A 16,519-nucleotide genomic window follows, 5' to 3' on the forward strand; every position below is an offset into this window, starting at 1 on the left:
AGACAAAGTATAGAGAAAGAATAGTGGGCCCAGGGGACCGGCGCTCAGCATACAGAGGACCCGCATGGGTACCGGTCTCTGAGTTCCCTCAGTATTTATTGATTACTATTTTCATTATCTCAGCAAGGGGAATGCGGCAGGAGAACAGGGTGATAGTGGGGAGAAGGTCAGCAAGAAAACATGTGAGCAAAGGAATCCGTGTCACAAATAAGTTCAAGGGAAGGTACTATGCCTGGATGTGCATGTAGGCCAGAGTGTAATAAAGAGTAACAGAGCAGCATTGTTGCCAACATGTCTCGCCTCCAGCCACAGGGCGGTTTTCTCCTATCTCAGAATAGAACAAATGTACAATCGGGTTTTATACCGAGACATTCCATTCCCAGGGGCATGCAGGAGACAGAGGCCTTCCTCTTATCTCAACTGCAAGAGGTCTTCCTCTTTTACTAATCTTCCTCAGCACAGACCCTTCACGGGTGTCGGGCTGGGGGACGGTCAGGTCTTTCCCATCCCAAGAGGCCATATCTCAAGCTCTCTCAGTGGGGAGAAACCTTGGACAATACCCGGCTTTCCTGGGCAGAGGTCCCTGCAGCTTTTCGCAGTGCATTGTGCCCCTGGTTAATCGAGAATGGAGAATGGCGGTGACTTTTACCTAGCGTACTGCCTGTAAACATATTGTTAACAAGGCACACCCCGGATAGCCCTAGATCCTTTAAACCTTGATTCCATACAACACATGTTTCTGTGAGAACAAGGTTGGGGCTAAAGTTACAGATTAACAGCATCTCAAGGCAAAACAATTGTTCAGGATACAGTTCAAAATGGAGTTTCTTATGTCTTCCTTTTCTACACAGACACAGTAACAGTCTGATCTCTCTTTCTTTTCCCTACACAGGGAGGCGGAGGCTGCAGTGAGCCGAGGTTGTGCCACTGCATGCACTCCAGCCTGGGGGACAGAGTGAGACTCGGTCTCAAAAAAATTAAAAAAAAAAAAATCCATTTCAAGTATCCAATTTCCATATAAATAGAACTTAGGAGTCAAATTAGTCATGACTAAAGGGACAATACTAGCTAAAAAGTTGTTCATAGTTACTTTAAAAGATGTCCTTATTCTTTAATTTCCTGTATCTTAATTGGCTGGAATCAAATACCCTCTGCATATTCAAAGTTCATCCTATGTATTTACAAATGAAGTGCATTAGTCAGGGTTCTCCAGAGAAAGAGAACCAACAGGAGAGAGAGAGAGAAAGAGATTTATGATAAGGTATTGGCTCAGACAGTTATGAAGGCTGAGAAATCCCACAGTCTGGTCTGCCATTTGCAAGCTGGAGATGCAGGAAAGCCAGGGGTGTCATTCGAAGGCCTGAGAGCTGAAGAGTTGATGGTGTCAATTCCAGTCCAGGCCTGAAGGCCTGAGAACCAGGAGCACATGAAGGCAGGAGAAGATCTCTATCCAGCTCAAGTAGTCTGGCAGAAAATGAATTCAAACCTCCTCCTTCTTGTTTTTCTCTGCAGGCCCTCAAGGGACTGGACGATGACCATCCACACTGGGGAGGACCGTCTGCTTTACTCAGTCCACCAATTCAAATGCTGTTCTCTTCCTTGAAACACCCTCACAGACACACCCAGAAACAATGGTTAACCAGCTATCTGGGCATCTCATGACCCAGTCAAATCAACACATAAAATTAACCATCATATGATGGAAACAACACTTGCATACATTAGTGCAGTTACTGCAAAAGGATTTTTCTAGGACCTCCTCCTATTTAAATATACGCTCCACTATACATATACATACTTACATATACTTAAACTCACATACATGGAGGATGAATGCGGCTCCCATAAATGAACCTGTGCTATACCAAACATGTAAAATGTGAAATTTGCACACACACTTGTTGCTTTTCAAATCTGCTTCAGTTTATTATATTTGTTTCTGTAAGTTTATAACATCTTTTCTAAACAGACACTAACGGATCTCTTTTTTTTCTTCCTTTCTTAGCCAGGCTAATCCTAAAAGGGCTCTGCTAAAGGAGATCACTGGAATTTCCCAGATCCCTGCCCTAAGCGTGGAGGGTCCTTCTCAAACACTCTTCCATACAGGGCCATAACTAAGACAGGCAAAGGGGCTCCACTTCGGCTCCTCAAGCGTCCATCTCTTGAAATCTGGTCAAAGAAAGCAAAGGGTTAACTTCAGTGCAGAGTTTAGGTTACAACCTAGAGCCCTTCTCAGGCAAGATCACTCCCTCCTAAAGCAGTGTAGAATGGTAAAAATCACACAGGATTTGGTGTTGGAAGACCCAGGTTCATGTTTCAAGTCTGAAAGTAGAGGGACTTTGTGCGAAAGTGCAGCCAACAAATTTGTTGCACAGGTGGTCAAATAATATGTATAAAAATATGTTCTTCAAACTCATGAAACACTATACAAAATATTAGTTATTACTATAATTATAACAACTTCTCAAAATAGTATACCCAGAAAATAAGTTGTAGATGCATTATTTAATGTATTTAATTTGCACCTTCTACACCATGCAAATGACAACATTATTGCCATTATCAGCAGTCAACATTTTTATTTTAGCTTCTCTGTGAATTTCCTGTTGCCTTGAATATCAACATCACATTTATGTTAAAAAAATGAACCCCAAATTCTCCATCACAGCCTAATGGCAATCTAAAACCACAATTTATATTCCATATCATAGTTTCCACATATTTAAGGTGTTTCTTGTAGAATGTGAACCACGATATTGCTATACTCTCATTATTTCAAAGATTTTCATTATGCTGCTCTACCCATCTACTCTGCTCAAAGGAATTTATCATCCTGCACACCTCCTACCTCATAATGTCTTTCAGGGGCAAGCTGACTCCCACTTAGAATGATCTGTGGGAAAACATAACGCGTTCCAAATGTGCCACTGAGGGAGAAGTCTTCAAACTTGGTAAAAGCTGACCCCACAGGTTCTCCACACGTTTCCAGGTCAGTGGTTTGACACTTCAGTAATGCACATATCTATGGAAGAAAAGAAAAGAGAAGGAGTCAGAAAACTTGCAAATATTTTCTCAGCTAAATAATGCAATTTCAAACTATAAATGCATATTTAAATTGCCTCATAAGAAGTATTTTTCAAACTGCAGGTAACAACTTATTAATGAATCCTAAAGTCAATATAGTGGGTCAGGATTAACACTTTTTATACTGAAGTCAAATAGAATAGACTAGGATTTTAAAAATCAGAGTGCATTGCACATAATAATAGCTATTTCTAATTCTATTTTAAATTATTTCATAAACTATTTCAATTAAATATCTTTTTTTTTATTCAGTCACACATCCACTTGGCTACACTGGGTTATGAGGTAAAATATCCTTCTTTCTCTGGATTTAGTTGAAGACAATTTGAAAAACACTGCTCTAAAGTAACCTGACGGGAAAAGAGAATACACAGAAATTGCAGCTTTTGAAACCTGAACCTGGCCTGCTGAGAACTAATCAATTTGCTTTATGTTTTTGCCTTTCAACTAAAAGAACTAATTCTGTTCTTGCTAAGACTGAACAAATAATGTGTTCTGGGGACAAAATTCAGAGATAAATATAACATTACTAATTATAAAATTAGCTAAATCCAGCCCAATTTTCAAAGAAAGGCAATGATGACCTAGAAGAAAAACTGATAATAAGGCCACTTTAACATATTAAAGCATTTCTACCTGTAAGTAATATTGGCCTTCTACTGTGTGCAGTCCATCAAAAGCACCTAGGGCATAGATCTCGTCTGTTCGCTTCTCAGACATCTTGTAAGTTAAGTGACAACACAGATCTTTCTGGCAAGCTGTGTAATTTCCTGTATTTCTCTTAAGCTTGGTGAAGGTAAACTCATCAAAATAAATCATCCCCAGAAAATCTGACTGTTCAGAGGAAAATGGCTTGACACTGCTGGCATACGCATGCCAGTCAACAGCTGCAGGGTAGGTGGGCTCACGGCGGGGCCGAGACTTCAGTTCTGATAGCAACAGCTGACCACTCTCTGTTTCCATGTCATAGTGGTACACCTTGACTGCTTCTGGGGCGTAGATTCCACTCCCTACAAGCAACATAAATACAAACATTGGTTTCAGATTTGTTATGGTGACCAACTAATAGAATATTCCCATGTGAAGTTAAATACAAAGTTATTAAAGCATATTTTCAAGATAGTTAAGGAGATAGCTGTTACATTGGCCTAAGTTCCAATTTGACTCTGTGTCCTCCATAAGGTACTACTTGCACTGAAATTATCATTTGACTTGGGGGGCATAGTTTTAAGCTAACTTAGCAACAAACTAGAAAATCCCCCAACGTGAAGAATAATTTTAGCTCTCCACTGACGATTTAGTTTATTTGTGTTTGGGATTTGTTATTCAACAAATAACAGAACAGTTAAAAAGGAAGCCTGCATTACTTTGAACATGGATATGATAAAGGAGAAACTCTAAAAACCTGATTAAGTCAAAAGAGATTTTTATCACTTCAACAAGTTTTTTTTAATGCTTGAAATATTTTTATTTGTTTGTATTTTTTTCTTCCAACTGTTATTTTAGGTATAGAAGGGGAACGTGTGAAGGTTTGTTACATGGGTAAATTGCATGTTGCTGGGGTTTGGTGTGCAAACGATTTTGTCACCCAGGTAGTGAGCACAGTATCCAATAGGTAGTTTTTCAATCCTCACCCTCCTCCCACCATCCCCCCTCAAGTAAACCCTGGTGTCTATTGTTCCCCTCTTTGTGTTCATGTGTACTCAATGTTTAACTTCAACTCGTGAGAACACGAGGTATTTGATTTTCTGTTCCTGTGTTCATTCGCTGAGGATAATGACCTCCAGTTGCATCCATCTTGTTGCAAAGGACATTATTTCATTCTTTGTTATGGCTATGTAGTATTCTATGGTGTATATGTATCACATTTTCTTTATCCACTTCACCGTTGATGAGCACCTGGGTTGATTCCACGTTATTGCTATTGCTAAAACTGCTGCAATTAACATACAAGTGCATGTGTCTTTATGGTAGAATGATTTATATTCCTTCTGGTATATACCTATTAATGGGATTGCTGAGTCGAATGGCAGTTCTGTTTTAAGTTCTCTGAGAAATCGCCAAACTGCTTTCCACTGTGGCTGAACTAATTTACATTTTCACCAGCAGTGTATAAGTGTTTCCTTTTTCTTCACAACCTCGCCAGCATCTGTTTGTTTTTTATTTTTTAATCATAGCCATTCTGACTGGAGCGAGGTGGTATCTCATTGTGGTTTTGATTTGCATTTCTGTAATGATTAGTGATGTTAAGCATTTTTACATGCTTGTTGGCCACATGTATGTCTTCTTTTGAGAAGTGTCTGTTCATGTCCTTTGTCCATTTTTTAATGGGATAGTTTGTTTTTTGTTTGTTGATTTGTTTAAGTTCCTTATGGATTCTAGATATTAGATTTTTATGAAATGCATAGTTTGCAAATATTTTCTTCTGCTCTGTAGGTTATCTCTTTAAACAACCAGACTTATTTCGATATTACTAATGCACATTGGCTAGGAAGTTTCTTAGAACTCTCTTTGATTTTTTTACATGACTTCCTCCAGCTCCAATTTCCTTTCAAGTAAAATTGAGATAATAATGTTTGCCTCTTTTATTCACAAGGACAATGAACGTTCCTTAAGTAGGAACAAATGCTATTATTAATTTTGTGATGTTAAAATTGGTAATAAAGTTATTAAACAAAAGTTTGTGGCTTGAAAATCAATGAAGCCTTCCTAAGACTGTCACTCCCACTTGGTGCAGGCCCGCGTGAGTTACCTGTCATGTGCATGCTGGTGTTGTGGGTATTTGCAGCAAGTAGATTGACTCCCATGGCCTTGGCCCATGCTGAATGGAAGGGAACAGCCGAGAGGAGGGGCAGCGTGTTGTACCATGCTGTGGGGTAGAGAATGCTGTCAATTGAAACTCATCCACCACCACCACAGCTGGGTCATGAGAAAAAATGTCAAAGCAAGTAAAAATGCCAAACTTCCCAAAGGGAGTGTCAAAAGTCACAAGTTCTGAATCCTTGGGGAAATCAAACTGAATTTCAGGTGCAAAAAGATTGTACTGTTAATAAAAAGCAAAGAAGAAGAAAATTAATAAGAAAACTGCCAAATAGATGTGATCAGTTAAGTCTTTCCCCGTTAAATCTTTCCTCTCATGTATGTTGACATGCAGGTTTAAAAGTGTTACACATAGGCCAGGTGTGGTGGCTTACGCCTGTAATCCCAGCATGTTAGGAGGCTGAGGCGGGTGGATCACTTGAGGTCAGGAGTTCGAGACCAGCCTGGCCAATGTGGTAAAACCCTGTCTCTACTACAAATATCAAAAAAAATTAGCCAGGCATGATGGCATATGCCTGTAATCCCAGCTACTCATAGGCTGAGGCAGGGGGAGCCCCTGAACCCAGGAGGCCGAGGTTGCAGTGAGCCGAGATCGCGCCACTGCACTCCAGCCTGGGCAACAGAGCAAGATTCCATTTCCAAAATCAACAACAACAACAAAATAAAACTGTTACATATACATTTGTAAAAATCATCCCCACTATACCACCATCTATACATTTTCTTACTGTGACATTAATAAAAAAACTTTATTTTTTTTACAACCAATGAATGAAACCACATGTACAAATGATATTTAAAATGTGAAAATGTGTATCTTAAAATCACAGGTTGAAATCTTGAATCCTACACTTCTCAGATTGTTTTCCACTATATTCTTTAAATTTCAACAGCACTACTATGTTAATAAAATAAACTTTGTCATGTGTCCCAATGATACTGCCAGGTTTATAGAAGTGAAGTCCATTGAAAATTAATTTAGACAATGCAGTTGCTACATATTATTAATTAGTAAGCCATTCATAATTTTATTTTATTTTTCAGCCTGATTCTTTTTCCAAAACTCCACTTAACCTGGGCTCAGGAGTACAGCATATGTTTTGCTCAGGTTTTTGTTTGGCCTGTTGTGTGCATGTGTGTGCTCTGGGGAGAGCTACTTCCCACCTCTGTGGTCCATGGAGGCCTCTTGCTCCTCCTTTCTCCTCCCATGTGGCAGCCTATCCCTCATCCTTTGGTGATTAGCTCAGGAAAGGCACGTCACCTAATTGAATCAAGGAGCGATAAGGCCTTTGCAAGGTTCTAGGAGGGAGAAATACACCCTTCCTGTAGATTTTGTTGATAAAGATGTGAATTTCGTGTTGCTCCAGCAATGTGGCTTCTAAAAGGAGAGTTCCCCTGAGAAAGAAGCTGTAACAAAGGGCTAGGAGAGCTAGAGGGGTGGATGATAACTTTGGAGCCTCTGAGTGTCAGACTGCACTGAAATGAGACCTGTCCTTTCTATGATACACATTTTTACATGTGCATAAGCAAGGAAATTTCCATCTTTTTAAAGCCATTTTCATTTGAGGTTTTGTTTTCATTGCAATCAAAAAAGTCCTAATGGAATACATGGTAGCTTAGTATGAAATGCTAACAAATTGGGCTAAAAAATGAACCTGATATTAAATCATGAATGAAACAGAATGTTTACTTCTTTTTCAGAGAACATTAAAAGCTTTGTGTGGCTATTGTCACATCCATTTAAATACTCTACCATATTCTGTTTTATGATAAATGCAAACCCAGAACGGTTATATGGAACTGAATTAAATCTCCTTTTCAACTATGATGTAATAATTATAAGATGCATCTATAACAGTTCTCTCCCCAACATTCAACAAACAAACACACATACATACCACAAGCACACAGAAGAAGTAACAAGTTGAGCTAAGGCACAAGTGATGCTCACCTTATGGTAGCGTGCCAACAGTTTTCCCTGAGAATCAAACACCACATCAGTGTTGTATTGGTAACGGCCATCAGGGGGACACTGAGAGTCACTGGCATTGCATGGCTTCTTGTCCCCAATATTAGCCACGACATAGATAGAGTTGTCCTTGGCCAGGCAGCTGAGTCTTTGTTGCACTGGTGTGTTGCCGAATCTAATTCAATAGACATTTCCTCAAACTTACTATATTTTAGTGATTTCTGAAATACCAAAGTGATACTTTATTTGCCCATTGCCCATAACACAACAGCTCTAGGTCAAGAATCAACAGAAAATATTTTAAAACTCTCATGTGATACAGTGTTTATCTTCCTGAAAGCTAACCTAATTTACTATGCCAAACTCCAGATTACAGTACAAGACTGAAGGAAAGAAAAGATGGAAGAGGAAGAGGAGGATGAAAAGAAGCAGCACATTCTCTTATGAAGTGCTCCCAGGAAGATATATGAAGCACTTGAAATTTAGCAGATTCTGCTAATGGAGAGGACCTTTTCTATAATCCAAGCCATAATTTGTACAAGGTTGCTGATACGAGATGTGGTTGGAAACAGAAATGCCAGGTGACAGTAAATAGTTTGTACCCTCCAGATTGTCTCTATAAAAAAACAAATATAGCTGTAAGTAGTGGAAATGTTAAAAATTAAAATAAAAAATAAAAAGCACTTCACTGTACTGACTCAGTTTCTTCATCTGTCAAATGTAAAACAATAGCTTCCTTTCTGCCTTAGTGGATCCACATGAGAAATCCTGAGATAAGTACAGACATGAAATTGTTTTACCAAGTCCATCCATATTAAAGATATTTATCCTTGGTATAAGAAGAGAATGTAGCATGGTGATAGCTGGCTTCAAATATTTGAAAGGCTTAATTTATAGGAGATGGGTCATATGTGTGAACATAGCATAGAATGCAGGAAAAAGACGAAAGGAAGTTAAAGTGAGGCAGATTTCAGCAGAAAATAAGACAAAAAATGTTTAGCAACCAGCTCACTCTGTTAAATAAGTGGATTTGCTAGTCACTAAAAATTTTATTATAATATGGTTCATCTAGGCCCTTAGAGTCCATTCCGTTAGCACAGTTAAATGACATAGCTGTTTTAATTCCAGCCAATCTAATGATCAATCATGAGATCATAAGCCTTCCTTTTTTCACATATTTGTAATGCAAATAGTAATGCCAACTACATAAATTGAATGTAATAATGGGTATAGTATACCAGGTACAGTTCTTGGGACCAAGTAAGTGCTCAGTAAATGAAAATTGCTATTATGGATTGTGTGATTAGAGGCCATTCCATGTCTCTCTATGAACTCACAGCCCCTCTGCAATTGAGGTTAAACTAACCTTTGAATAAAAAGGACAGATTAATGGCCTACTGGTTTAGACCTTTTCTTTTTATTTTCTTCTAAAAAAAACAGAGAAGTACTATTAATATTCATATTCATTAAGACCTTTAATAACTTTATCATGTACTTTGTTTAATTTTTCTTTTCTTGACTAAATAATTTGAGTTATTTAATATTTCCTACTAGTTACTCGTGAAAAAAGCCCATGGAACTGTTTGACATGTCAGCATTCTAAATATTTAAATGCACAAGGATGACCGCATGCCTCTCTACTATTCTCTTCAGGGATAAATATCACCAGGGAGAAAACTGACTTTCTTTTCCAATATTATCATTATATTAAATACTGGATTTCTCCTTTCTGTAACACAAAACTGAAACGTTGTCATTTGAATAAGTAGGTGTAAGAGTTCATAATGTTGACATTTCATCAGTCACCTACTTTCCCAACTTAAAATAATTTATCGATAGCTAATTATCAAATTTATGGATATATTTTCCCTGGAAAAGTCAGTTTCATTAGCCCAGTCAAATACAGTACATTTTCGTGTAAGCCTCATCAACTGCAGCAAATAATGATTCCTTCCTGTTCTGGGAAACGCCTCATAAGCAAGTAGATGTTGAATCATAGTGACATGGTTTCTGTAAACACAGACCATGCAATGTTTAGAGAATATTTTTCCAAAGGGCAAAATCCCAGAGTGAGGTTTGACTCACATAGCTGAGCCTGAATGTTGTACCATTAAGCATGACTTTCCACTTAATTTCACATAGGTAAAATTATCAAAGAAGTTTCTCTTTTTGCACAATAGGTGTAGTTCTAAACAGGTGCATGTAAATTTAAAATTAGCAAGTTAAATGACTTCTTAACCCATCAATTTTGCCATTTAAAGAAATAATCTTAAACTATTTTTAAAAGTTAATACAACTAAAATAATCTATTTCACAGATATCATATTTATTATGCATATTTTCTTTAAGAAAGTTATGCCTAAATTACATCTACTAATAATTACTAAAGTCTCTCAAAGGACAAGAACACAAAGAAGTTCAGACTCAGTCCCTTCTGTTAACAAAAAAAAAAAAGGAATAGTGACAGCTAGCATTGGAGAGTGCATCACAATGTACAAATTCCATGTGTATTACTTCATTACTCTTGTCTGATCTGTAAGAGAATTAAGGGACTCTATTATCCCTGTTTTACAGATAATGAAACAGAAATGTTAAGCATTTAGGTTATACGCTTACATCACTCAGCTAGGTGGTCGTAAAATGTGGTCCCAGAAGTAGGGCTTCCTTTTTCAAGTCCTATACAATTTCCATTGGCCATATTGATTGCATTCTGAATGACAGTGATAGCAAAGCTCTTTGGAAACAGGCTCATTCATCTTTTTACTCTTCCTGTGAAGGAGGCAGGTGTCCATGGATGAACCAACTTACTTGTATTTGGGACACAGGTTCTAGATATTCCAACTTTTTCACTTTGTTCAAACCCAATTAAACACATTTACTATAAAAATTGTGTATATACCTACTATTTTTTTTTCGAGATGGAGTCTCACTCTGTTGCCCAGTCTGGAGTGCAGTGGCGTGATCTCGGCTCACTGCAACCTCTGCCTCCTGGGTTCAAGTAGTTCTCCTGCCTCAGTCTCCCGAGTAGCTGGGATTATAGGCATGCACAACCACACCCAGCTAATGTTTGTATTTTTTAGTAGAGATGGGGTTTCACCATGTTGGCCAGGCTGGTCTCGAACTCCTGACCTCAGGTGATTTGCCCACCTCCACCTCCTAAAGTTCTGGGATTACAGGCGTGAGCCACCACACCCGGCCTATACCTACTATTTTTTTAAGACAAGGTCTTACTGTCACCCAGGCTGGAGTGCAGTGGTGCAATCATAGCTCACTGCAGCCTCAAACTCCTGGGCCCCAGTGATCCTCCTGCTTCAGCCTCTCGAGTAGCTGGGATTATAGGTGTGAGCCACCACACCTGGCTAAATTTTTTATTTGCCGAAATAGGGTCTGGCTTTGCTGCGCAGGCTGGTCTCAAACTTCTGGCTTCAAGCAGTCCTCCTGCTTTGGCTTCCCACAGTGATGGGATTACAAGTGTGAGCCACCACGCCTGGTCACACCTACTATTGTTGAAAGACAATTGCAACAAATAACCAACTAGTCATCAGTATCTCAAGTCATTTACCAAACAGGAGATATGCCAGATGATATACACTATGAAACATAAGCAGTATCTGCAGATTCAACACTATTTCTTTTCTTCTTTTTTTTTTTTTTTTTTTTTTGAGACAGAGTCTCACTCTATCGTTCAAGCAATTCTCATGCCTTAGCCTCCCGAGTAGCTGGGATTACAGGCACACACCACCACACCCAGCTAATTTTTGTATTTTAGTAGAGATGGGGTTTTACCACGTTGGCCAGGCTGGTCTCAAACTCCTAATCTCAAGTAATCCACCTGCCTTGGCCTCCCAAAGTGCTGGGATTATAGGCATGACCCACAGCACCCAGCCTCAACACTATTTCTAACATACTACCAATGTCATTTTTTCACAGATTTATAAACAAAATTTCTAAAATTCATATGGAACCAAAAAAGAGCCTGAATCGCCAAACCAATCCTAAACAAAAAGAACAAAGCCTGAGGCATCACATTACCCAAGGCTACAGTAATCAAAACAACATGGTACTGTTAGAAAAACAGACACATAGACCAATAGAACAGAATAGAGAGCCTAGAAACAAAGCCGCACACCTACAGCCATCTGTAGCTCAAACAAAGTTCACAAAAATAAGTATGGGGAAAGGACTCCTTATTCAACAAAAGGTGCTGGAATATCTGGCTAGCCATATGCAGAAGATTGAAACTGGACCCCTATCTTTCACCATGTACAAAAATTAACTCAAGATGTATTAAAGATTTAAATGTATGACCTCAAACTATAAGAATCCTAGAAGAAAATCTAAGAAACACCATTCTGGACATGAACCTTGGAAAATAATTTATGACTAAGTCCTCAAAAGCAATTGCAACAAAAACAAAACTTGACATGTAGGACCTAATTTAACTAAAGAGCTCTGTACAGCAAAAGCAACTATCAACAGAGTAAATAGACAACCTACAGAATGGGAGAAAATATTTGCAAACTAGGCATCTAACAAAGGTCTACTATCCAGAATCCATAAGGAACTTAAATCAATAAGCAAAAACAAAACAAATAACCCCATTGAAAAGTGGGCAAAAGACATGAACAGACACTTCTCAAAAGAGGACATACAAGTGGCCAAAAAACACGTGAACAAACACTCAACATCACTTATCATCAGAGAAATGCCAAGCAAAACCACAATGAGATATCATCTCACACCAGTCAGAATGACTGTTAACAAAAAGTCAAATAATAAAAGATGCTATGGAGAAAGGGGAACACTTACACACTATTGGTGGAAATGTAAATTAGTTCAGCCATTGTGGAAAGCAGTTTGGAGATTTCTCAGAGAACTTAAAACACAGCAACCATTCGACTCACAATCCCATTACTAGGTATATACCCAAAGGAAAGGAAATCATTCTACCAAAAAGACTCGTGCACTTGTATGTTCATCGCAGCACTTTTCACAACAGCAAAGATATGGAATTAACCTAGGTGCCCACAAGAAGGAACAAAATCATGTCTTTTGCAGCACCAAAGGACATTATCCTCAGCAAGTTAACACAGGAACAGAAAACCAAATACTGCATGTTCTCACTTATAAGTGGGAGCTAAGCATTGGGAACTCATGGCCATAAAGATGACAGCAATAGACACTGGGAACTAATAGAGGGGAGAGAGAGAGAGGAAGGCAAGGGCTGAAAACCTTCCTGTTGTATACTATGCTGGGTGGTGCAATCATTGTACCCCAATCCTCAGCGTCATGCAATTTGCCCATGTAACAAACCTGCACATGTACTCCCTCAATCTAAGCTAAAAGTTGAAATTACAGGGAAAAAAAAGCATCTACATCCTATGCCACAGATTGACTATTTATCAACACAATTACCAGTCAAATTCAGTGAGTTTACTGTTGGTGTTTTACCAAATCACAACTTTTTGTTTAGAAATTAATGATATGATATTACCTCCAGGGGTCTCTACATGGAATCCAGTTCACTCCAGGGTCTGGTATATCCTCTAGATAGGGGTAAATGCTCTCCCTGGTGAAGATCCAACCATAGATTCCATCTTCTGGGGTCACAATGATATGTGCACCCTGCTCGAAACAAGTGGGGCAAAAAAGTTTGTCATGAATTCCAAATACTCTTTGACCAAACTGCAAGTCTCCTTTACAAGTATAAAAGGGTAATACCTGCTTCGCTGCCAGCTTAACTGCTTTCTCCAAAACATCTATGTTCTTGTTCATCAGGAGCAAAGCTTCTTCTTTTGAAACAGGTGTTTCTGTTCTGTTTGGTAATATCACCGCATGCTCATATACTGCAGCAATAAAAGTGTCCAGTGCACCAACACTCAGAGCAAGGAGGGCAAAAACTGCCACACATTTTGGAAAATGTGATATAATCATAACTAAAATTTAGTGATCTTTGAAAAACAAACTCAGATTCTTACGTTTTGTTTCACTGGAAAAACTTTACATTAAATCCCTCCTGGCAATCAGCTGTTTATATTTTCTTGCACATATATTACACAACACAGCATTGAGAAAGGATGTTGTGCAAGAAAACTGACAGCCAGGACGTAATTGGATTGATTCAAGTGTACAGTGCAGTTGTTGACATTGTTCAGAGTCAAGTCAACACTAAAAGATTGAGCCAACCAGATGAATTCACCCCAGTCCAAAACACACTGGCAGTTGAAGTCTTTTCTAATAAAAAAAAATTTTCCTGGTAAGCCAACATTTCTATTAATAGGGCCAATATTGGAAGGTAGTCATCATAGCAACAATTTGTTGAGCACTCTACTTACATATTTGTATGGCCATTTCTATTTGAAAAGCCCTTGTTCTCCATCCGTCTAAGTTCCAGCTCCCCCTAGAGTCCTCCCAAATCCACTCCAGTCCTAAGTGATATTTCTGAACTCCTATAGCATTTTTTTCTGTGCTGCTGAATGTCTCTCACTCCTTGCTGTTGTCTTGACCTTTAATTTAAATATTATACCAATACTTAATATTATATATGTATGTTTTGTCTTCTTAAAGAGATTAAAAAGAAACTTGCTGTTTTCTTTCAGAACATCCATGTCCAATAAACATCTAGACAGAGATGATGTATCCTGGGATGTGGCCCCTGGAGGGTAAGGGAAGTGTCCTGCTCACTGTTGAACCTCATCACCCCAGCACATGTGTGACAGATGGTGAAAGCTCAATATATGAATGAATGTTGAATGACGGAATCTACTACCTGATGGGCCAGTCTATTCCACCTTTGAACATTGCCAATTTTAAGAACATTCTTGTTATTGAGATGCAATTTACTTTACCTGTCTTCTACAGTTTAAACCCGCTTCCATATGAAGACTAATCAATAATTCAAAAAGTGTTAAGTTCTCCTTTAATTCTTTTATTTTTTAAACATATCATCCTTATAAGTCCCTTAAGGGCAGGGTCACATTATAATTCTCTGCTGCTTCTATAGAATTTTATACTGTGCTAAGCTCTGTAAATGTTTTTTGATTAGTTAAATTCACTTCCCTCGCCCAATTTTGGATTGAATCTCCTTGTTTGAATATCAGTTAATTTAAAATGTAGAATTTTTTTTAAGGTTTAAATCTCTGATTCTAGAACAATTAACACTGCTTCTCCCTCTTGAGATTCTTTCTAAGATCTAAGGAAAATTGTAAGTTATGGAGATTTGTGTCTATTTTGGGTTTGGTTTGTTTCTATAATTCAAAGTCCCTTGGTTTCAATAAACTTTTCCATTATCCAAATATTTCTGCTCCCAGATACCCCACAGTGTTTCCATATGTCCTTATGCCCTGATACCATTTCAGGAAATAAGGACATATGAACATAAATTCAGCCCTAAATTCTGAGTTTATGTCTGACATAAATTGTTTTCATCAGACATCAGACATAAGTTCTTTTCCAAAAAAATTTCTGAGGAGAAGAGGGAAACTATGTAAAACAGATGGATTGATCTGGGATGAGAAGAAAATAATTTTCATATTTCAAGTTGAAATTCTAACTCTTTTCTTGGTTCACCTGACTTTCTGAATAGAATCAAAAGGAAACATATGGGAATTCCCCTTCATTCTCCCAGCCCCTAGTTCCAGGAAATGTACCAGCTTTTTTTGTGTGTTGAAATCAATAGAAACTTGAGTTAAATATTTGATTACCCAATGTTGTTAGTAATGTCTTTGCTTCCTAGGTGTATAAGGCGTGCAGCTATGAGTTATTTGAAACACTGTATTGGTACATAATCCTTATGACAGTCTGGCATTATTGTAGGATTAAGAAGTTTAGAGTCAGAAGTTTTGTATTACAATAAATATAATTCTTCTTTTAAATATGTAAGGGACACATCTTAAAGGAGAGGTGCTGTAATAAAATATCTAAGAGTTTACTGGCTTTCCCCAAATCTTTATTTCTAAACTCATTGTAAAACCTCCTCTCCATTCTCCTTATCAAGTTCCTGACCCCATAAATAAGAATTCTTTCAGGCTCTCCATCAGCCTCTCTGATCCCACTCCTCCCACCCTAACCCTCAATACTGTAATCCATTAGAGTTCCCTTGACCATTGCTGTCATTAATTAAGATACTTCCCATGCATATATTGAATCAAAGCAGACAGTAAGAGCCTTCTTTCTCTTGGTTCCATTTTATATTTTGTGTTCTTAGCTAAAAGTACTCTTCTTATTGTAACATGATCACTGTTGCTCTGATCCTGGAATGATTCTGACCAAATCCTGCCTTTCGAGCTCAAATCCATTGCCTCTCCAGTCTTGTTGCTATTCCCTTCTCTAAACTCTTAATGCACTTATGGCCAGTAGCCACATTGTTGTTCACTGTCTTTCAGTCCCTTACTCTACCCTCTCCCCTGGCCCCAGGTTTTTTTCTACTTCATACCTTCAACTATCTTCTACAAAAGGATAATGACTGTGTCTCTATCTTTAGCTCAAACTTCCGTTCTGAACTTCAGGCCTATTTATCCAACTCAAAAGAACTCCTTTCCACAAGCTCCCACCAAGTATCAACCCACCTGCCAGCCATTTGTACCTGTAAATTCTGCCTCCCCCCATCCTTACTGTAAATGACTCCTCTTGACCCTACTTAAGTCT

At 38.3% G+C, this 16,519-nt stretch overlaps 1 pseudogene across 6 annotated transcripts; it reads right to left on the minus strand.

Annotated features, from left to right (window-relative positions):
* Positions 1-1,901: 1,901 nt before the first annotated feature.
* Positions 1,902-13,880, minus strand: VNN3P (vanin 3, pseudogene; annotated as a pseudogene). 6 transcript variants are annotated; one of them, NR_173395.1, is made up of 7 exons: positions 13,595-13,880; positions 13,368-13,498; positions 7,856-8,094; positions 5,837-5,953; positions 3,721-4,094; positions 2,849-3,022; positions 1,902-2,169 (listed from the first exon to the last, which is right to left on the minus strand). The product of NR_173395.1 is annotated as a vanin 3, pseudogene, transcript variant 5 (transcript). The 6 variants fall into 6 exon arrangements; NR_173391.1 differs by having other exon boundaries at positions 5,837-6,127; NR_173393.1 differs by lacking the exon at positions 7,856-8,094 and having other exon boundaries at positions 5,837-6,127.
* Between the last annotated feature and the right edge of the window lie 2,639 nt (positions 13,881-16,519).

This window comes from Homo sapiens, chromosome 6, assembly GCF_000001405.40.
Source record: "Homo sapiens chromosome 6, GRCh38.p14 Primary Assembly".
In the NCBI taxonomy this organism is placed as follows: Eukaryota; Metazoa; Chordata; class Mammalia; order Primates; family Hominidae; genus Homo; species Homo sapiens.